At 34.9% G+C, this 23,427-nt stretch overlaps 1 protein-coding gene across 24 annotated transcripts in view; it reads left to right on the forward strand.

Annotated features, from left to right (window-relative positions):
• PPM1A (protein phosphatase, Mg2+/Mn2+ dependent 1A) overlaps window positions 1-23,427 on the forward strand; it is a 53,338-nt gene that overhangs the window by 8,369 nt on the left and 21,542 nt on the right. For 2 of the 24 annotated variants that reach the window (XM_047431511.1, XM_047431510.1), the window contains exons 2-4: window positions 14,175-14,317; window positions 22,887-22,973; window positions 23,195-23,247. The exons of 5 other annotated variants lie outside the window; for them this stretch is intronic. Coding sequence is in view for 4 of the 19 variants with exons in the window: in XM_047431499.1 (XP_047287455.1) it covers window positions 5,835-5,892 (58 nt within the window). In the remaining 15 variants the exon portion in view is untranslated. Of the gene's footprint in view, window positions 1-2,705; window positions 2,749-4,845; window positions 5,893-5,921; window positions 13,174-14,174; window positions 14,318-22,886; window positions 22,974-23,194; window positions 23,248-23,427 lie in introns of those variants that run through there. 17 more of the 24 variants (XM_047431512.1, XM_047431506.1, XM_047431499.1 and 14 more) reach the window with 14 other exon arrangements.

Here is a 23,427-nt window from a genome sequence, read left to right on the forward strand (position 1 = left end):
ACTTAGGGGTATAGAGACTTGCTTAGTATGAGAGGGTTGTCTTTCAGTATAGCTTTTGCAGTGTGCCTGGAAGCCAAACTAGAGATTGAGTAGAGAATTTAGAAGACATTGTAAACTCTGTGAGTTTAGAGAGCTTGCATTTGAATAGACTAAAAGTTATAGAAGAAAGAGAAAGTTGAGTATGAGTAGCTTTATTTGGCTCTGCAAAGCTGGCAAGATGTCAAGGGTTTGGAGTTAATGATTAGGTGGGAGTAGATGGTTAAATTGCGGATAAAGAGTAACAGTAATAAAGCAAAGGTGAATGTTCAGGCTAGAATGATCAGTCAGTAAGGAAGGACAAGGGTTGGTATTTTGAAGAGGAGTTACAGTTTATGGTTAGAAATGAGCAGGAAGATATCATTGCTACAGGAAAGGATGCAAAAGAGTAAGGAAACTAAATCATTCTGATTAACTCAGTTATTACCATTTTTTAAAAATGGAGTCTTTATAAAAGGCGTTAAGGCTTTATATGTGAGTTCTAGGTTAAGTCTGAAAAATTGTCTTGGAATAGTGTGGGTCTTACTACTGCAGACCCAAACCAAGATATTAGCATTCCAACTGGTCTCTTTCCTGCTAGCATCTTGTACTGCATCTCCTCCCTGATTCTATAAACCATCAAAATTCTTTCTAAACTATGGTTTTTCATTATATCATTTCTCTCAGTATACTTCAGTGACTCCCATTTACCTCTGGAATAAAGTTCAGAATTCTTGGTTTGGCTTTTGACACTTTCCATGATTGGACCTCAAGACATTAGTCTGTTATAACCAAACTAGTACACTTGCTATCTCTGGAACACGCTCTTTTCTCTCCATGGATCTTTGCTCATGCTAGTGTGCAGTCTGGAATTTGTGTCTTTCCTTCTCCAGCTTTGGTTTTCTCTTTTAGCAAAGCTCATTTCTAATATTTCTTCTTCCACAAAGTCATCTCTGACCCCCAGAGTGTTTAATCTCTCCTTTCTCTGTACTTAAAGCAATGTCTGTGTATTATTTCTATCATATGTTTTTTTTTTTTTTGTTTTGTTTTGTTTTTGAGACAGAGTCTCGCTCTGTCGCCCAGGCTGGAGTGCAGTGGCGCGATCTCGGCTCACTGCAAGCTCCGCCTCCCGGGTTCACGCCATTCTCCTGCCTCAGCCTCCCGAGTAGCTGGGACTACAGGCGCCCGCTACCACGCCCGGCTAATTTTTTGTATTTTTAGTAGAGACGGGGTTTCACCGTGTTAGCCAGGATGGTCTCGATCTCCTGACCTCGTGATCCGCCCGCCTCGGCCTCCCAAAGTGCTGGGATTACAGGCGTGAGCCACCGCGCCCGGCCTATCATATGTTTTACCTTTAGATATTTGTGTCTAAATTATAATTGCATTCAGTTAATTCTAAAGGGAAAAATAAATTTTTACTTTACACAAAGGCTAGCGGCTAGCACAGTGCTTTATGGATAGTAGACATTCAGATATTTGGTAAGTATTAAGCAAAATCTACCTGGAGTGAAAGTGATTGTTGTAGGAGGAGGTAGTAGAAGTAGTTACAAGCTTTATCGTAGCAGACGTTTCTGACTCTCTTCCTGAATGTTATTTTTTCTGAACCTGGATATTTAAGTGTGAAGATTATACAAATCTGAAGTGTGGCAGTGTTCTTATATTGATGTAGAAGACTAGGTTGACTGATCCTGGACCTACAAGCTTCATTTTAACTTCCTACATTTTGGCTTTGAGGGTTAACAGGACATTTATAATCACATATCTCTTTTCAGAGTATTTTACATTTGCAAATATTATCATGAACTTTGTGTCCTTTTAACCAGAGAGGAATTGTGGAATCACAGGAATTAGATGATGTGTTAAAGAAGAGAGATAACTATCAGCTGATTTAATTTGAACCCAACAAGTATCTAATAATATGCATACTCTGTGTTCAAATAAACCTCTAAGCTAGACTTTCAAGCTTATCAAAATGCTAGACTATTTTCAGTGTTTAGAAAATACCAGCCAGGTGTGGTGGCTTATGCCTGTAATCCCAGCACTTTGGGAGGCTGAGGCAGGTGAATCACAAGGTCAGGAGATGGAGACCATCCTGGCCAACATGGTGAAACTTTGTCTCTACTAAAATACAAAAAATTAGCCAGGCGTGGTGGCACGGGCATGGTGGCCACCCGCCTGTAGTCCCAGCTACCCAGGAGGCTGAGCAGGGGAATTGCTTGAACCCGGGAGGCACAGGTTGCAGTGAGCCAAGATTGCATCACTGCATTCTAGCCTGGCAACAGAGCAAGACATCGTCTAAAAAAAAAGAAGAAGAAAAAAGAAAATACATAGTAAAATTTATTGGCTTTTTAAATGGATAATTTCATATAGTCAGTCAGTGCCGGCTTAGATCCATTTGTTAGAGAACAATGCTAATGAGACCTCTTGATACTTTGTGTTCCTCTTATGTTTTCCTAGCCTTGACGTTAGCAACTAACAATGATAACTAACATTATTGAGCTCTTATGTGCCAGGGACTATTACAATAGATTTTCAATTATTATCTCATTAAATCTTCATAGCAGCCCTATGAGCTAGATACTGTTACTACCTATATCTTAACAGATGAGGAAATTTGAAACAGAGCAGTTATTTGCCAAGAGTTTCAGAGCTATTAACAGAAGCCTAATACATGTTCTTGGACTTTGCAGAAATAATTTGTTGATCCATGCGGTTTCATTGCTACTGCGGAAAGTAAGTCTCTTGGCCATTGTGATGGGTCAAAATCTTTGTACATGAAGGGTATGACTGTTGTTCCATTGTATCCAGAGAGTGAATCTTGTGATTGAGTTGGGATTTGAGGTGGCAGTGTATACTAAGTTTGAAAAGTATATTATCATATGTTAGCTCCCTTTAGAAATTTTCCCCAAGAAGAGCTATTACATTTTTTAATATTAAAAAAGCATAAGATATGGCCATAATACAATTAGTTCCACAAGCCATACACACTTTTTTCTTATGGCTTAAAATTTTATTCATGTTTACTACTTTGCAACCCACTGATATAAATTATTTCACAGATCCTTTATTCAAATGAAATTCTCAGTGAGTCTGAGAAGATAGTCTTAAACACAAGCTAGCTGAGTTTACAATAGAGATTATACTATAAATGGTAACTTCAATGTTTATTGAAAATAAATTCCTTAAAAACAGGTCTTGTTTCATTCATTTAAAGAGATTATCAATATATGACTGTTAAATTTTTATAGTCTCCCTGTTCATTTTCTGATGAACACATGACAGAAAATTGAATGTGAGCTGGAAATACAGCAGACTATGAGAAAGCATGGGTCATGTATAATCACTTTAAATTTAGGCTGGTGTTTTGTATTCATCTATAATATGACCACCTCAGGGAGGGATGTAAGTAAACATTCTTTTTTTAGTTATACTTTAGGTGGCTTAATTATTTTAAAGAATATGTTATTCAAGAATTGTCTATTGTACTGTTTTAAAGAATAAGAATATAATTCATTACCAACTTTGAATGTCTTGGATTCTTAGTACTACCTTTTTCTTTATCATGACTAGTAGGATCACATCATAATTTGGTACTGTGTGTATAAAGATGAAGTGTGCTTACCTTTATTACCAAAATTCAGAAATGAAAATGTGAATGATAAAAGATAAGGGATGGCTATATATTTTTTTGTTTTTGTTTTTCCAAACAGAATCTCATAACTTACCAGGCTTTAGAAAAACATCTTTGCAGTATGCCATCATACCTCAGAATGTTAAGTAGATAGGAAATAAAATTTTCACTTTTTGTAAAGCAGTAGGGTATTATCCTTTCTGACAGCCTGTAAGACTGTTTTGGTTGCCAAGGGGCCAATCTTAGAAGTGGCAGTTTTTGTTTTGTGACCAACCCACAGCTTACCCTTTGTTAGTCCATATCTGTCATCTTCATTTTCTCTTTCTGCGTAAATGCTTCTTGATACAGTAAGCAGGTGTTTCAACTAGTCAGCCATCTAGTGTGATCTTTTCTGGTTTGCTACAGTCAGTAAAATAAGTAGCTCTATAAGTGTAAATAGTATTACTTGTTTTATGTAGTAAAACTCCAAGATTAAGTTAGAGATATTTTTGGCTAGACTACATTGAATGCATTGACAATGGATTTCCCAGCTCCCAGAAATTCGTTTGTGTCTGAATTACTTTATACTTGGCTTATTGTGTAGAGAAAACTTTAGAAAAAGTTCATCCATCCATGAATGTTGAATGAATGAGCAGATTAATAAATAAATAGCTCAGGGAAAGAAAATGTGTGGGCTTTTAGTCATAACTATGTTTTTTCTCTTTTGTTCCCTTCCTTATGTGCCATTTTTCAATAATGGGAGTGTGTATCTAATGATGTTGATAAACTTTTTAAAGTCATTGATGAACAGTAATCTGAAAATCAAGTTTTGATTAAGCCGTAGATTTCTTTTAGGGTCCAATATTTTCTTTTTAGAAATCCACTATGATATTTTTGTAGGGATAAAAGACAACCATGTATTCTATAGATGGAAAATGGTAGGATACAGTTTGTTGGCCGGCCAACTTCTCTGAAAATACTTTTTCCTGCATAGAAGATAATCAGTGTTGACAAGGGAGAAGCCAAGGTATAATGGCTGTTATTCATCTGTCTCATGTATTCGTCAAGTGTCATGTGTTAAATATGAACAAAAAAGACATAATCTCTTTCCTCCTGGATCTTAAAATCTAAAGTGAGAGATAATTCACCAGATAAATGCTGCGATAAGGGAAATAGAGGATTCTATGAGCTTATGACTAAGGATAGATCTGTTTCCTCAGATGTGGAACTAAGAAGTGGCAGTAGTTGAGAAGTTCATTTTGGGCCATGCGATTTGAGGTGTGGCTATTCAAGTATAGGAGGTAGGTGGTTACACATTTTTTAAGCTATTAAATAGAACTTTCACTTGAAAAGGTTTTTTTCTCTCTTTCCTCAGCATCTATCTCCCTACATACACAAAAAAATTGCATGTCACAATTCATGAACTCAGTGAGTGACTCTATTTTGAAAAATGTTAGATTATATCAACTGAAGTCTGTTAGAGGCAAATGCTTTTGGTCATTTTTTTCAGCAGGGACATTTCATATGTGTAAAATATTTAGAATCCCCATGTATTTATATATAAATGAATCTTTTACCATCTTAAATGTTTAATAAGTTATATTTTTCCTTTCTTTCAACTTAAGTATACAAGGTTATCAGCAAACATTTGTAGATGCTCTATGTGAGGTGTTTTGTTTATTAGTTTTAAGGAAGAGAAAAAAGGATGGATTGGATCAGGAAGTCAGTTATTGTTTTCTGGGTTAGTTTGAGTCCAAATCCTCAAATATGCGGCGATTTATAAGTAGCAAACTAGGAATTTAATCCACTTCAGTTTTGGATAACTTGGATAAGACACTTTCTGTCTATAGATCTGTCTATAGATAACTTGGATAAGACAAGTTATCCAAAACTGATAAATCTGAATTAGTTAACAGATGAGGCAAATTGAGATTGTAAATGCTAAAAGATTATTAGAAAACTTTATAAACTAAATAGTTCTATGCCATGTCTTTTTAGTATTTTGCTTGTACTATAATTGTAGTGAAAATAGGTCAGTATCTAATTTTTATAGTCACTAGAGCTCTCCAACTAAATTTAGCTTAGATGTTTTTCTAGCAATTATATACTTACAAAGTTTACTTTTAAAAATTGTGTAATACATGCCTTTATAGAAATTTAAGAAAACGACTTATGGATTATGTACTTCAGATCACAGCACAACTAGAAGATGTTGATACATTACATAAAAAATCAGGAAACCTATGAAGAACATCAAAAGTGGCAAGGTGTGTTCACTTGCACTTTGTGAGATTGAAACTGCTGCCATTATCTGTGCAAACTATGGTTTGAGTACTTTTAATTTAGCAAAGACTAATTATTTTTTAAAAATTTTGGGGTAAAAAAAATGGTCTTTAGCGTAGAAGAGCTTTACCCGACTTACTTTAGTTGGTTCAATTGGTTGATTTTGGTTTGCTTTTTGAAATTTTGTATTGTCTTAATTTGGGGCACATTGAACTCAATAACAGTTCAGTTGCATTATAATTCATTTGGGTAAAGTTTATTGTTGGAGGAGGGTAAGTAAATATTTAACTGAAAAAGTGAAGTAAATATTTATTTAAGGCTATAAGTTGAAATATTTGTCAGCTGAGAAATTTTCAGGTAACTTTTTTAACCTTTGAAAAAAATTTACTATAGCATGAGTATTTTTTATACTGCTATGTATAATCCATAGTCACGTTTTTTAACCTTTTTATATAAAATACTGATACAGAAAACCATACAATCATAGTAATCTTTTAAAATTGCTTTATAATTCACATAGCGTAACATTCACCCATTTAAAGTTTACAGTTCAGTAGTCTTTAGTATATTCAGACTTATGCAACGATTAACACAATTTAATTTTAGAACATTTTCATCACCTCCAAAAGATACCCTGTACTCATTAGCAGTCACTCCCCATTCACCAGTCTCCCAGCCCTTATCAACCATTAATCCATTTTCTGTCTATAGATTTGTCTAGTTTAGGTATTTTATATAAATGGAATACAGGTAACTTTTTATTAGTGATTTTTCACTTACATGTGTCTTGCATGTCTCATGAGATAGCTATGAATAAGTTAGCCTTCTTTTACAACTTAAATAACAATTCTTGTCTGACCGGGAAAAAGTATTAAGTTATTGAGAGACTGCATCCCAATTTAAACCAAGAACCAGACTCCTTACTAGTATTATAACTCAAAAGAATGTGTACCATTAGCCCTTACCTCTGGTGGTGCTTTTCACTGTGAATTGTTCAGCAGCCTCTCAACTTCCCGAAAATACCACTTAAGTCTTAAACTCAGACTTGCATGAGTTTACTGAGATATGTTTACCTTTGCAGCTGGCTTGCCTAGAGTCTACCTTCTTACTACCCTACTAAGTCCAGAATGAGGAAGAATTAAAAGCAAGAAAGGAGATACAGAAGAAGAGATTGCTCAGGCTGAGGAGGGGCAAAGTGATAAGAGCAGGATTAGAAAGAGACATTAAAAATTCAAGGATACTGAGTTTGTTGGCATCAGAATAAATCTTGGAGGCTGTTTTAAGAGGGAATAAAACCTAGAGGGAAGGAATAAAAGGCAAAGATGTTATAAAACATAGGTAAAATATTTAAAATATTTTGTCCTGAATTTTGAATTTTAGGCATATGTCAGTGAAGCACAAAGGATAGCCCCCTTTTTTGATGAGCTTTAGTATCCTTAAGATATTTTCTTTCTAGAACCTTGTGTAGGAATTTTACAGCTGACCATAATCATGTGTTCTCTTTGGTTTGTTCCAACATCTTTGGATTGGAACCAGTACAGAGTAGGAAACCCATATCACCTTGGGATTATTTTTCAGATAAATCTTCCAGAGGATTAAATGGCACCATCCCCGTCAGGTCCAAGTAGGAGGGGAAGAATCCTATTTTGGGTGCTGTCAGATTCAGTGGGCTGTTTAGTTCACTTTTTATCCAGAAAATGGAGCTAAATGAGAAATTGCAGCTTCCAAAGAAAATCATACCTTGATTTTATAGATCAAAGCCTTTCTGATTAGATCAGAATTGTTCCTGAGATTTTAGGGGCATTCAGTTAAAGTGCCCCAAGAAGAGTGATAAATCACATATAGGTGTAAAGTCAATAAAGTCCTATAGTAAGCAGACTGGAATTTAGGGGGAGGGGAATACACACTGTTAGACTGTTGGTACCTATATTTGACTACTAGGATGATTATATATTTTAAATTCTGTATTCAGTTTCTTATCAGAAATACTGCCTACAATATCTTATACTTAATTTTTTAAGGAACAGGTGATAAAGATAGGTTATATTTTCTTCAGAATAATTGATATTCATTATTTAATAGATAAAATGTGTTATCTGAATGTTTATAGTAGTAGAAACCAAGTTTACAAAATGTCTATATATAATTTGTTTTTAATAACCAAGGATTCTTTCTTTACAAAAGATTTCCTCTATATAAATCTTCCTGTTTTATAGATGATCTGTATTATAGGAGAAATGAGTATTTGTTGATTTAACTGGCTAATCTACAGGACTGAGCATTATTAGAGGAGTATTTAAACATAGAAGTCTGTGAAAATATTTTTAGTGCTGAGGGAAATTGGAGGGACTTTCTAGAACCGCAAACTAATAGAAAACCAGGCATAGTGGCTCAAGCCTGTAATCCCAGCATTTTGGGAAGCCGAGGCGGGAGGATTGCTGAAGCCCTGGAGTTTGAGACCAGCCAGGGCAACACAGTGATACCTTGTCTCTACAAAAAAATTTTTAAAATTAGCTGGACGTGGTGGCACATCTATACTCCCAGCTACTTGGGAGGCTGAGACGAGAGGATCACCTGAGCCCAGGAGCTCCACGCTATAGTTTGAGTTGTGATCGTGCCATTGCACTATAGCCTGGGTGACAGAGCAACACCCTACCTCAAACAAACAAACAACAAAAAAACCCTTCTACCTCTGAACATGTGGGGATTTAAAGATTGCTATGATTTAAATATAAATCATGAATATAGAAAATATGAGAACAGAAGAGTATTTGTTAAACAAGACTAAGCTGTGCTGCATAAAGTAAGGCACTATCATTGTGCTGGTATTTTCTGATTCTCTTAGTGCAATAAATGTTAAACTTTACTACTACCTTAGCCATGTTGCAGGGAATTGACATGAATAGTTCCTGGGTTTTGGCTGGGTGCGGTGGCTCACGCCTGTAATCCTAGCACTTTGGGAGGCTTAGGTGGGCAGATCAGGAGTTCAAGACCAGCCCGGCCAACATGGCGAAACCCTATCTCTAATAAAAAACTTAAAAATTAGCCGAACGTGGTGGTGCACGCCTGTAGTCCCATCTACTCAGGAGGCCGAGGCAGGAGAATTGCTTGAACCTGGGAGGTGGAGGTTGCAGTAAGCCAAGATGGCACCACTGCTCCTAGCCTGGGTGACAGAGGGAGACTCCGTCTCAAAAAAAAAAGTTCCTGGGCTTCAAGGGCACTCTAATGTGCACATCTTAAATTCTTAGAGCCTACTTCTATGGACGATTTATGTTACTGTTGATGGAGAATTTGATTTTCTTTTTTATCTTCCCCTTTCCCTTGGCCTTTGTAGGTTTTTTGAAGTGAACATACTTTTATGTATTTACTTATTTATTGAGCAGTTCCCAAATGGCAACTTTATTATTTTATTTCTTCAACTCAGTTGTCTAGTTTACTTCATTTGTATCTAATCTATTTAACTCATCCTTTGAGTTTTTAATATCAACATTTTAAATTTTATTTTTTTAGCTTCAAAGGTGTGCATATGCTTGTTACATGGATATAGCATGTATAATGGTGGAGGTTGGGCTTCTAGTGTACCCATCACCCAAATACTGAAGGTTGGACCCAATAGGTAGTTTTTCAACCCTCACCCTCTCCCACCCAATTGTTTTTATTTCTGAAAGTAATATTTCTTTCTTGGTCTGCCTGATAATTTTTTTATAGTTTCTTATTTTTCGTTAGTTTTCAAAAAATACCTTGTTGGGCATTTTGTCCATAGATGTACTATCTTATGTTTGCTAATTCCAATATCGGAAGTCCTTAGGAAGTTGTACTTAAGGTAGTTTGTTTCTTTCTGTATTTGGTGATTTTTTTTATGAGCTAATATTTGATTAAACCGAATATTTCTCCATCCTCTGTATAGTTGCCTACAATGTAATTTCTACTTTTTTTTTTTTAGCATAAAAGAGTTTCATTTTCCTTTTTATACTCAATAACTTGTTTAATTAGCCAGTATTTTTACCAGTTTCTTTACTTATTGTTCCTTGCATCTTCTCTGAGTCCACTTTTCTTCTTGCTGAAGTACATCCTTTAGTAATCCTTTTAGTAAGAGGCTGGCTTGTAAATGTCCTTAGTTTTTGTGTGAAAGTATATTTTATGCATTACTTTGTTTTTCAGCTAGATAGGGAATTCTTGGTTGATAGGTTTCCTCCCATCAGCAACCTCAGTATATTATTTCATTGTCTTGTGAAACTTGGCAAACTTGGATCTCTGAGAAGTTCGATCTCTGCCTAATTGTTATGCTTCTGTATGTAATTTTTTTTTTCTGGTAGTTTTTTAAAAGATTTCTTTTCTTTATTCTGTCACCACTACTTACTGTGTGACCTTGGGCAAGTTCAAAATGGATATAAAATTGTATCTGTGTCATAGGGTTGTAATGAGGATTAAGTTTTAAAGCACTTAGAACAGAGCCTTGCATATTATAACTGTGACATGTTAATATTTGTTTTATTTTGCCATACTTGATATTCTAAACACATTTCTATGATATGCTTAAGTATGTTGTTTTATCCATAGCTCCTCTTTGAAATACATTGTTGATGGGAAGATTCATATCTTTCTTTGTTTCTAGAAAATTCCTTAGCCTTCATATCTTTGAATATTCATTTTCCAATATTCCTTCTTAGTCTCTGTATTATGTTCTAGGTGGTTCCTCAGTATCATTTTCTAATTTACTAATTCACACTTTGACTTTGTCCAGCTAGAGTTTATGTGGCCTCAGTTCCAGTGAATTTTTTTTAAATATTCAGGCTGTCTCTCTAATAGCCACCTATTCTGGTTTGATTTCTGCCTATTTTTAATTTTTCTTCCTTTAATGACTATTGTGGCTTCCTTTTAACATTTGAAATTATTTTCAGATTGTCATTTTTTCTTCTAGAATGAATTACAGTTGTTGATTTTATTGGCTGTCCATCTTAGTTTAGTTTTCTTTGTGTGTTTTGAGTTTGCTTTTGCAGTCTCCTATTGACTGGAAGTTTTTGTTGTGTTTTCTTTTTCACTCTTCTTATCCAGTGTTTTTACATGCACCTACATCTCTGTCTAAAACCACATCTTTATATTGGAGGCTTGATTCCCTTGATTCTTGGTAACATCAGGATCAGGCTTCTCTTTCCAAGAATAAGACACAAACTAAGATCTATATTTCTTCTCACTGGACACATAATTTCATCTAAACCGTAGCCCCATGCAATGGTTAGTAGTAGCTTTTTCTGGCTCCTTTCATTGGTTGGAAGAGCCTCTCCACCCTAGGTATTGGTTTCAAGCAGTGAGCCTGAGTTCTATCCCAGCCATGCATGGGTACCTTTTTAGTCCCTGTTACTATCCCTACAGGATGTGGACTTTTGGCCATCTCTGTTACTTGAGCCCAGAAGGCTCACAGTTTTAGCTTCAAAAACTGCTTTGTATTTAAAGAGTTCAGTGGCTTGGTCTTTTTTAATATTTTGTTTGTATAGTTAATAAATATTTAACATACATTAAAATGTTTGGAACAGATACATTTCAAAAGTGAATATACAAATCCATTTGGTTGGAAGTTAGTCCATTTTGTGTTGCTATCACAGAATATCACAGACTGGGTAATTTATTAATAATAGAAGTTTATATAGCTCTTGGTTCTGAGGGTGGTAAGTCTAAGATTGAGGGGCTGCGTCTGGTGAGGGCCTTCTTGCCAGATGGAAGGCAGGAATGCAAGAGAGCACAAGTGCAAACAAGGGCAAGACGGGGCCAGACTCGATTTTACCAGGAACTCACTCCTAAGATAAGGGCATTACTCAATTCATGAGGGCAGAGCCTTCATCACCCAGTTACTTTTTATGGACTCACTGGTTATTACTGTCACAATGACAATTCAATTTCAACATGAGTTTTGGAGGTGACATTCAAATCATAGCAGAAGTCAATGTTTAAAATCAATGTATATCCTACATACCCTTCAGAAAGATACTAGTTGACTCTCCTACTTATGAGAGGTATATTTTTTTATTCCTTTGCCAATATTGGGTGTAATAATTTTTTAATCTTTGAGAAGGTAATGTATAAAAAACAAATTTGTGTTTAATAGCTAGCAGGATTGGTCATTGCTCCATATATTTATTACCCATTTATATTCTTTTATTTATTTAATTGCCTGTTCACATTCATTGCCCATTTCTTTTCCTTTAAGGTGTTCATTTTTATTGTCTTTTAAAATAGCTGTTTGTATATTGTAGTAATGTTAACTTTTGTGTATATATTGCAGATGCTTAAAAGACGTTTGCTTTTCAGGTTAATGAGCTTTATTTTATAGTGTAGGAGTTTCTTTTCTCTGGAGTCACTTTTTCTTATTCCTTTGGAATCAGTCTTTTCTTGTCATCCTTAGAAAGTCCTTTCCTACCATAAGATTACAGAAATATTTGCATACATCTACTGGTATTGTTTTATTATTAATACTTCAGACTTCAATCTTTAATCTCTTGGTATTTATTTTAAGGTGTGATGTTGAAGGGATTCAGCTACCCACCACTGGAGGGCAGGAGTGGAAAAGATCAGCTTTCAGGCACCCATTATTGAATCTCTCTGTTCCCAGAGAGCTCTTTCTGGATTCTCAGTTCTATTCCACTGATAAATTTATTCCTGCATTAGTATTGCCTCTTAAATACTATAATTTGGAATCAAGTTTAAATATCAGGTATTGCAGATTCTCATGATTTTAAGAATGTTTTGGCTATTCACATTTATTCATATATATTTTGAAATGATTTAATCAAGGTCTGGGAACAAAAAGGTCCAGTTGTGATTATATTGAATTTATAGATTAAATAAAGGGAGGATAACCATCTTCACAATTTTGAATCTTCCTATCCAAGAAAAAGAAGTGTGTGTTATTCTGAAGCCCTCTTCTTAAAAAGGTTCTATTTCTTGTTATTTATTTAGATATACTTTTATTTCTGTTTTAACTTTCTAAGTGATTACTGTTAATCATTTTCATATATGGTTTTCTATAGTCAAATAATCTTATTGAGTATTTTTTTCCCTATCATTTCAGGTTTTGAGTTTGCCATCATGTCATTAACTGCAAATAGTTGATCTCCTTATAATTTTATGCCTCTTTTTGTTAGCCTTGGCTTATCTCAATAACCATTATTTCTACACATTGCTGAGTTACAGGGATAAGAGTTGGTGTCCTTGTTCTTTTTTCTTTCCTGGGAATTGTTCTAGTACTGAGATTTCCTCTTTGGCTTGAAGTAAGTATTATATTAAGGAATAAATTTTATCAAATCCCTTTCAGAATATGATGAGATGATCATATGGATTGTTTTTAACTTTTAAAAAGATGACTTACATTAGTCAGCTGCCTAATGTTGGCTCATTGTTACGTTCCTAAAATGATCCCTATTTGGTGATTTGTAATATATATTTTACTGACTTTTTGGCATCTGTATTAATAAGTATGTTTGGACTATAGTTTTATTTTTTTAGTGCTGTCTTTGTCAAATTTTATAGAAGGATTATGATAGGTTTGTAAAAAGAATTGGAAATTTTTTTCCTGTAATCTATAGATAACTTAGGTAATTTGAGAGTTACATGTTTCCTTAGGGCTTGAAGGATCTTGTTTTGAAATAGTCTTGCCTGATGCACTTTTATTTTTAATAGCTTATTTTGAGAACAATCCAAATTTAAAATTTGCAAAAATAATACAGTGAACTTCCATATTTATTTAAATGGCCAATTGTTAACATTTTTCCACATTAGTTTTACAGACTTTTTTCCCTGTGTATGTGCATATATGTATTCATATTCTCTTGGCATGCACACACACATTTTGTTATTTTTTAGTTTTGCTGAACCATTTAAGACTCAGTATGGACATCATGAACCTTTACTCTTAAATATTTAAATGTGTGTCCCCTAAGAACAAGGACTATCACTTTCTCTTACATAACCATAGTTCAATTATCAAATTTAGGAAATTTAACATTCATACAATACTATTATCTAATATACAATCCATAGTCAGATTTTATCAGTTGTCCCAGTAATGTCCTTTATAACAATCTTCCCCTCCCCATTCCTTCACCCTTTGCCTTCATCCAAGCCAGTCCATAATCACATATTACAGTTTGTTGTGACCTCCTTGGTCTCCTTTAACCTGGAGTGGTTCTTTAGTCTTTTTGCATTTTGTTTTTCATGAGCTCTGAAGTTTTTTGAGGGATAGTTCTTTAATAACTTTCTCATATTGTTCCAGGTTTCTGGTCTTCACTCTAGCACTAATTGAAAAAAAAAAAATTTGTTTTCCGAGAACTGTTACTTTCCTCCATATTTTCAAATTTATTAACAGAGAATTGTACAGAGTGATTTATTTTACAACAATAAAATTCTATTTGTGAGGTGAGTATAGCCTGTTTGGCTTCTAATTTTAAATAATTTTTTTAGTTAGACTATTTAGTGGCTTACCTATTTTATTTTTTTCACATATAACATGTACTATAATTTTACGTAATATATTCCTTCAGCTTTTATTTTATTTTGTATGTGTGTGTGGTTCATTTTTCTTTTTAGGTTGAATATTTAGTATACTGATTTTCTTTAGTATACTGGTTTTTTTAACTAAGTGTGAATTTTTTTTTTTCTATTTTCAACACACTATTGCTGGCTTAAAGGTGAGGTTTCTTAATAAGGTTTGGTCACATCTCAGAATTTGATAGGAGATTTTTCTCATTATTGTTTCTAAATATTCTATAATTGTAGAAATATGTAAACTCAATGCAAAAAACTGGTGTAGGAGCTTACTTTTTAAGCAATTTCCACGTTTGAGGTTTTCTTCTTTCTTTACACATTATCAATATCTACTATTAATGTATAATTCAGATGTGTCATTTCATTATTTCATTTTCTTTTTTTTTTTTTTGGTCTGTGGGGTAGGATGGGGGAGTGTGTTAGAAATCTATAAGCTTTTCTTTCCAACATATAATCCAATAATTATTTGATTTTTCAATTAATGTTTTAAGTGTGTTTGAACAGAATATATAGTCTTGAAATTTTGGACCACATCTTTTACCAATTTAAAACATGGCTCTTATTCTGTTTATTGCTTTATTCCTTGTGATTTACTTTGTCTGAAATTGAAATTGCAATTCTTGGTATCTTTTTTGCCTAGTGTATTTCGACCACAACAAAGTACTTTTATACTGACATCTTTATTTTTGAGTTTCTTGGTTTTGATTAGTCTCTTGATTGCATGAATCTATCTTTAAATAGTTTATTTTTTCAGAAATGAAACATGGATAACACTACTTTAGTGCTGGCATATTTGATCATGTCTTCTTCATGTCTTCTTATTGCGTTTACATATAAATGACAACCTTGCTGGTCGTAGTATTCTTGGAATAAAACCTCTTTATCCTCAACGTTTATAGGCATTACTTCGTTGCCTATCATCTGATGTTGCAAAGAAGTCTGGGACCAGCCTGATTTCTTTTTTCTTTTTCTTTTTTGGCATGTTTATTTTATTTTTTTTATTTGAGACAGTCTTGCTCTGTCACCCAGGCTGGAGTGCAATGGTGCGATCTAGGCTCACTGCAGCCTCCGCCTCCTGGGTTCAAGTGATTCTCCTACCTCAACCTCCCGAGTAGCTGGGATTACAGGCGTGCGTTATTATGCCCGGCTAATTTTTATATTTTTAGTAGAGATGGGGTTTTGTCATGTTGGCCAGGCTGATCTCAAACTCCTGACCTCAGGTGATCCTCCTGCCTTGGCCTCCCAAAGTGCTGGGATTATAGGCGTGAGCCATCGTGCCCAGCCGATGGCATGTTTATTTTGTCTGAATTGTATTCTTAAAATTTGTAATCTTCAAATTATGCTTCGGTATTGGTCAGTTTCTACTAAATGTATCTAGTACTTGATAAACGCCATTCAATCACCAAGTTCAGTCTTTAGTTTATGATTTATTTCTTCTGCCTTTGAAATTTAATTTTTCTTCCATTATTTGGTTTTCTTATTTACAATGTGCTAATTGAGCTGTTGGATCTGCATTGTTTGTATCTTTTCTCAAGTCTACTTGTTTTTGTTTCTTTATGCTTACTTGCATACTGGATGATTTTTGTCCTGTTCGTTTTTACCCCTTGCAGATTGTTTGCTGTAGTGTCTTCATTCCTCATTATTGCTTTTCATGACATTTAAAATATTGCAATGATATTTTTTCTCTGAAATATCTTTTTTTAAAAGCTCTGTTGATACTTTTTATATTCTGGTTTCTTTTCATCCCTGTTTCACAAATTAGGTTTTTTAAAATTTTCTTATATGTAAGTTGTCACCTAGTTTTCTAAGGTAAATCTTTTAGACTGTGACATCATGTTCTTGAGTACTTTTTTAGTTACTTTTTTATTTCAGAATTTTTGTATGGGTTCTATAAATTTTTTTCTGCTTTTTTACTTAAAGGGTGGCAGTTTTCTCTGTTGTTTGCCCAAAAATAACTAGCTACTCCTTGCCTGTTCTGTCATTATACTAGGATACCATTACCTCTTTCCCCCTTGGAATTTAACAGGCTGAATTATATTAAATTATTTTAGTTATCATATTTCATTATTTTTGAGAGAAATGATAGGGATTTTGTCCTATTAACCTGTTACAGGTAAGAAACTTTGTCTTTCTTGATTTTTCTCGATGCTTGTTGAAATTACTGATTATTTTAGTTATCATATTTCATTATTTTTGAGAGAAATGATAGGGATTTTGTCCTATTAACCTGTTACAGGTAAGAAACTTTGTCTTTCTTGATTTGTCTCTTGATGCTTGTTGAAATTACTGCACATTTTCATCTTTACAAGTTTGGCAGATTTTCTTTCCCAACAGAAGAACTTGACTATTGGGCATTCTGCTAATTTCCATGGCTGCTATAACAAATTATCACGAACTTGGTGGCTTAAAACAATACAGATTTATTCTCACAGTTCTGGAGGCCACAAGTTCAATATCATTTTCACGGGGACAAAATCACGGTGTCACCAAGAATGTGCTCACTCCCGAGGCTTTAAGGAGGAATCTGTTTCTTGCTTTTTTTCACCTTCCAGTGGCTGTCAGCCTCATCACTTGCCTGGTAGCCACATCACTCGAATCTTTAAGACCAGCGTCTTCAAATCTGTGTCTGCTCTGTCTTCACATCACCTTCTCTGTGTGTGTCAGATCTTCCCCTGACTCTCTATTCTAAGGACATGTGGGTTCACTTAGAGGTCTCTGGATAATCCAGGATCCTCTCTCCATCTCAAGATTCTTAATCACATCTGCAAAGACCTTTTTTTCCAAATAAGGTAACATTTATAGGATTAGGACTGGTATCTTTGGGAGTCATTATTCAGCCTACTAGGTATCATTTTGTTTTGCTACTTTAGAGTGAGGCAGACATATTAGTCAAAAATTGGATTAGAGTAAAGCCTCATAGATTGTGCTGTTTGTTAGAATCACAGATACTGTCCTCTTTACCGAATGATGCAAACTCTGATGCCATGGTGGAAAAGTATATGAATTGAATTGGATGTGGTCAATAAGGATTGCTAGGGACTCGAGAATGCATGTTGTTCTAGGGAGAGGAAATACGTGAAGGTCAAATTCAGGTTATCAGGTTATCAGTTTGTAACCTAGTTTGTAGCTGCTTTTTTCTTTTCATTTCTTACAAGCTGGTCTTGCTGTAGTAAAATAATTTTGTGTGTCTCTTATAATCTTGATATTGAGAATAAGAGGTTTTTTTTTTAATGGGAATTCCATCCACATGATTTTAAAGTATTACTTTACTAATGATATTTACCTAGGTATTCCTAGAACTTTAGTCTTCTCATGTAACATTTTATACATTTCTCAGAACAAGGTAATTGACAAATAATCAAGGTTGCTTATTTATTGATGAGGAAAGTTAGACATTAAGCCAAAGGACTTGTCCAGTATCGCATATTGGATAGACCTATAATTTTTAACTTTAATCTTGTGGTGACAGGTATTTCCATTTTTTTTTTTTTTTGATGTTTCATATGTGCTTTGATGTTGATGTGTCATGTGACATGAAGTGTCTCCCTATTGTTGGATAATTGGGCAAGTCTAAGTTCTTTTTACTTTATATTCCTGATTTTGTTTTTCTAGATGTGTTATTTTTACAGATTCAGGTTACTTCTTTTTTTAAATCATGTTATTAGAGTTAAACTAATGAAAAATCATATAGAGATGAACTTGGTTTTGAAATATAATGAGTAGATACTTGCTTGGCTGGAATTTTTTCTCACAAGTTTTTTATAAAGATGGTATGAGTGTATACTTTGTATCCAGGAATGTGTGTACACTAGGGGGAGTGTTGGGGGGATGAGGGTGGAAGACATTTTAAGACACACAGGAGGCTGGTGTGGTGGCTCATGCCTGTAATTTCAGCACTTTGAGAGGCCAAGGCAGGGGAATCACTTGAGGTCAGGAGTTTGAGACCAGCGTAGCCAACATGATGAATCCCCATCTCTACTAAAAATAACAAAAAATTAACTGGGCGTGGTGGCACATGCCTGTAATCCCAGGTACTTGGGAGGCTGAGGCACAGAATCACTTGAAGCCGGGAGCCAAGATCATGCCGCCACATCCCAGCCTGGGCGACAGAGTGAGACTCTGTCTCAAAAAAAAAAAAAAAAAAAAAAAAAGACACAGAAGACCCTAAGTGTACACTCAGATGCTCTTTATATCCATATCCATTATCAGTTTGGTGATACGTTATTCTAGTTTCATGAACCTTTACTCTTAGAACTTGGTTTATTCTCTAATATCTTTTGGATTCAGTTTTGCAGTTGAGATGGCTAATATCAATTTGATACTCTTTCCTTTTATGATTGCTCATGTTTTTGTCTAGAACCTTGCATTATAGTATTTTTTTTTCTTTTCCTTGCATTTCTATAGTTGTGAACAACTAGGAGTGGGTTTTTAGCAATTAATTCAGTGAGCTTGTTAATTTTGAAAAGGCTTCAACTGAGGAACACTTTCTTCTCATTTCTTTGATGATAGCTTCTCTGTTTCTCCTTCAGAAAGTCTTGTTTTTTATATGCATATTTACTTTTTGGGTGCACTCTCCTTGTTAATGAGTTATTTGCATCTGATTTTGAGTTTATTCAGCAAATATTTATTAATGATTTACTGTATACTCTGTGCTTGGGGAGTTGACCTAGGGAACTCAAAGGAGGCTCCTTTGAAGAATTGATGCTTGAGCTGAGATCTCAGGAATGAGTAGGAATTATCTAAGACATGAGAGAACAGCTGTTAAGGTAGGGAAAGTAGCATTTGTTTATATATTTGGAGGAAGGAAGTATGATGAGTACTAGGTACTGTAAGAAAACCCTTGTGGTTGGAGTAGAGAATGTAGGAGAAGGGACAGTATGAAGTGAGATGCGGCTAGAGAAGGTACGTAGGGGCTTGACTTCCCAGGGCCTTCATGTGAGCCATATTAAGCAGTTATTTATCCACCTCCTACCCCCAGCAGTGGAAAGCCATTGAGAAACTTTTAGTACAGAAGTGATATGGTGAAATTTGTATTTTGAAAGATTTACTTAGGCTGCAGTTTGGAGAATGAATTAGAGGGATGCCAGGATCCACGTGAAGAGACTAAAGACGCTAGTATTCTGCAGTGAGAATGATGGTAACTTGAGACCAGGGCATTGGTAGAAAAAAGTGGACAGATTTGAGAATGCTTAGGAAGCATATAACCCATGGGATTTGATGATGGACTGATGGGAGATGAGGTAGAGAGAGGTATCAAAGATATCCTTAGTTTCTGTTTCTTTTTCTGAGTTGGGGTCTTGCTATATTGCCTAGGCTGGTCTTGAACTCCTGGATTCAAGCAATCTTACCGCCCCAGCCTCCAAGCAGTTGGGACTACAAGTATGCAACACCGCACCCAGTGAATGTTCTTGGTTTGTATTCACCTTGGTGGGTGATGGTGCCATTCACTGGTAAAAGCTGCAGATATGTGAGGGTGCTCAGGGAGGCAGCATAGAATGGGAAAAGGGCCTACATGTAACCCTTGAGGAATGCCAATGTTTAATGGCTTGGGAGATGAAAATGAGCCTGCAAAGGAGACGACGGAAAAGCTTAGGGGTAGGAAGAAAGCTGGGAGTGTGTGTGTAGCATCTTGAAAGGCCAATGGGAAGAGTGTTTCTGGAGGGAGTGTTATAGTTGAATGCTTCTGTGAGCAGTCAATTAGAGGAGGGCTAAAAATGTCCCTTAGATTAAGTGACTTGGAGGAACTTGATTTAGTAAAATGGCCAGACAGCCTTTTGGAGCATCAACATTTTTTTTAAGAAGTTTAACTGTAAAGAGAAGAGAGGCACATGGGTAGCTCGAGGGGAATAAGTCACATGAAAAGTTATTTTTAATGGGTAACATGGGTGACACTTGTGGCTTTAAAAGTCACACTCCAACTGAGAAATGTTGATAAAAAGGAGAAAAAGGAAAATAGTGTAACATTCCTGAAAAAACTGTCATTTAAGACTCCTTTGAAACATGGGCACCAAAGCTAGTCTAGTAGAGGATTTATTATCAGTGAGAGGACAGAGTCCTATTACAGCAGAAAAGTAGGAGGGGAGGGTTATGAAAGAATTCATTGAAATGGTTCACTCATTTATTGATCTTTTTTTTCTGTAGTATCCAATCTGCCATTCATTGTCTCTATTGCAATTTTCAGTTCAGTAAATTGCTTCTCATTTCCATGAAACTATTTTCAGAGTACCTCTTTTTTAATTGACAGTCTGCAATTGTTTTATTCATTCAATGTCATTTCATATCTTGGTTAGTTTCTAATTTTGAGCTAATGAATACTGAGTCTCCCTCTTTTCAACTTCTGAATTAAAAAAAAAGTCATCTTATTTTTCTCTGTTCATTTTTACACTTTATTTAGCCTAAGTATCTGAAATTGGCTTTGCTAGAAATTACAATTAGTTCACTGTTGTTTTCTTTCAGTCCCAGACAAAAAAGAAAAATTTTAGATTTCTTTCTTTTCTCTTCTTCCTTTTTTTTTTTTTTAAGGTCATTTATCTTTGGCAGTTTTAGAGATTTAGAAAAGAAAATATATAGACTTGTAGGCAGAAGAAGATATGGCACTGAGGGAAGTTTTAGTTTTGTTCTGTGACAGTCTTCCTTATCTTGTATGTTGTCTTTAAAAAGCCTACACATTTAGATTTTCATTACCTCATTTGCAAGGATACAGGATAGCACATGTAGGAGAATTGGAGTGTAAGTCCAGAAACCTAAGTCTTATTCTTAGCCTTACTGATGAACCAGCTTTGTAACCTTGGGCAAGTTATTCTGTTTCTCTGCACCTTCTCATTTGTAAAATAGGTTTACACAAATCATTTCTGCATTTTGGCTCTGATTCATTATGCAAGTTATCAAAATCAAATTTGTAACTATAAATGAGTAATATTTTATTATTTTTATTTTTTTAGAGACAGAGTCTTACTCTATTGCCCAGGCTGGAGTGCAGTGGCACCATTATAGGTCACTGCAGCTTCAAATTCGTGGGCCCAAGCAGTCCTCCTTCCTCAGCCTCCTGAGTAGCTAGGACTACAGGCATGCACCACTATGCCCCGCTAATCATTTTTACAGAGTCACGCTATTTTGCCCAGGCTGGTCTTGAACTGCCCTCAAGTGGTCCTCCCACCTCAGTCTCCCAAAGCACTGGGATTACAGGCATGTGCCACCATGTGTGGCTCTAATCATTTTTAAAGCAACAATCAGTGGGAAATTTCAGCTCCAAATGGGAGAAAAATTTCCAAAGATTAGCCTTTTTTTTTTTTTTTTTTTTACAGATTTGCTACAGTTTTGTTAATGTGCTTATTTCTCATTACCATAGATAACTTTGAGATGGCTGCCTTGGATTACAAACTAGAATTTATTACTATTTCACATAGCTTGGGAAATTAAGTGTAGTTTGTGTAGCCTAAATTATCCTTTATAGAGATGTAGCTGCAAGGGTTAGCATTTCTTCTTTGAACCCCAGGTATGCAGTATATTGCTTAATACTCTATTGTTCCATAAATATGCATTCCAGAAGTCAGCTGACCATTTGTCCTTATCTTTGAGGACAAAGCCCGTACATATGTAAGCATTAGTGAGCAATGTAGAATATAAAGATTTGGTAGCAGTAGAGAGTTTACGCTCTACATCCCACTGCAAGTAATTTGAATATTGCCATATTATCCACTGTGACCTGTGCTGTTTGTTAACGTTCCTTTTCCCCACCTTCCCCGAGGAGCTTGTAGTCTCTCACTATATATTTTTTTCTCTTTGGATTTCCCTTCAGCCTTTAGATTTCTTATCTCTAATGCAAGTCTACTCTAGATTTTTCTCCCAAATGTTTAAAACCAAACCTATTATCTCAGTGGTCATCAAAGGTCCTCTAGTTACCAGTATCCACCCTTCTTGGAATGCCTGTTTAGCAATGTTCTTTTGTTATATGAGTAAGAATAACTCTGGTATTTGCTAAGAGAATATAATTTTCTCCACATTGTATGTATCTATGTCCTTTGTTTATAAAGCCTGGGGGGCGTTCCCTATTAGGTTAAGTGTCCCTACGTAAATAGAAAAATATGTAGGGTTTTATTACTCAACTTTTTAAGGTTTCTGCTCAAATTGTCAGTTGAATAACTCTTGTTACTTTGGGGCTAACATGTTGCATAGGGATTTTAACAATAAAATATATAGAGCATTTTAAAAATTATTCACTATAATTCTGAGTGGATTAAACCAAATGACCGGGTTCAAGACTCTACTATGAGTTCACCTTTGCTTAATAAAAGGCAAGACTGAACATTAATTAATGACTTCTTGGCCCAGCCTTAGAATTTTTCAGTTTAGGGATTAGTTTGGTTTTTAAAAGGTACAAAATGTTCATGAAATTTTCTGATTATATCAAATATTAATTCAGTCTTGTTTTTTGTCATAGTACTTTGTTTTGAAAAGTTCAGATCAACTGATAATACTAGTGCTGTGATGAGACTCAGCTTGTACTCAAGAACAGATTTATGACTAGGTGAGAACTAAAATTTCTCTCAGAAACTAACTAAAAACTTTCATGGACAAATTGAATCCCCTTGGGATTTACTATTTATGGATATACGCCAATTTAATTATTGGACTAAATAAAATACTCTTTATTAGTCCACTTATGGAAGATGACTGTGTAAACATAGTATTTGCAAGTAAGTACTTTTTGGTATTATATTTATATAATCAGCTCTTGTATCCATGTAGCTTATAGTTGGCTGCTTCACCAGGACTCTACAAATTGCTCAGAACCCAAGGAGGTAAGATTTTTATATTGCCTGTTTTCAGTATGTAAAAGTCCAGCCACAAAACTATTAATTTACCCTTGACTATATTTTTACAGTTGCTGTGGAGCTGAACCTAAAATTTTGTTAGATGGTTACTTGGTTTGTTACATTTTTATATACTAATTTATATACTATAATAATATACTGTATATA

The sequence above is a fragment of the Homo sapiens genome, chromosome 14, assembly GCF_000001405.40.
Source record: "Homo sapiens chromosome 14, GRCh38.p14 Primary Assembly".
NCBI lineage: Eukaryota > Metazoa > Chordata > Mammalia > Primates > Hominidae > Homo > Homo sapiens.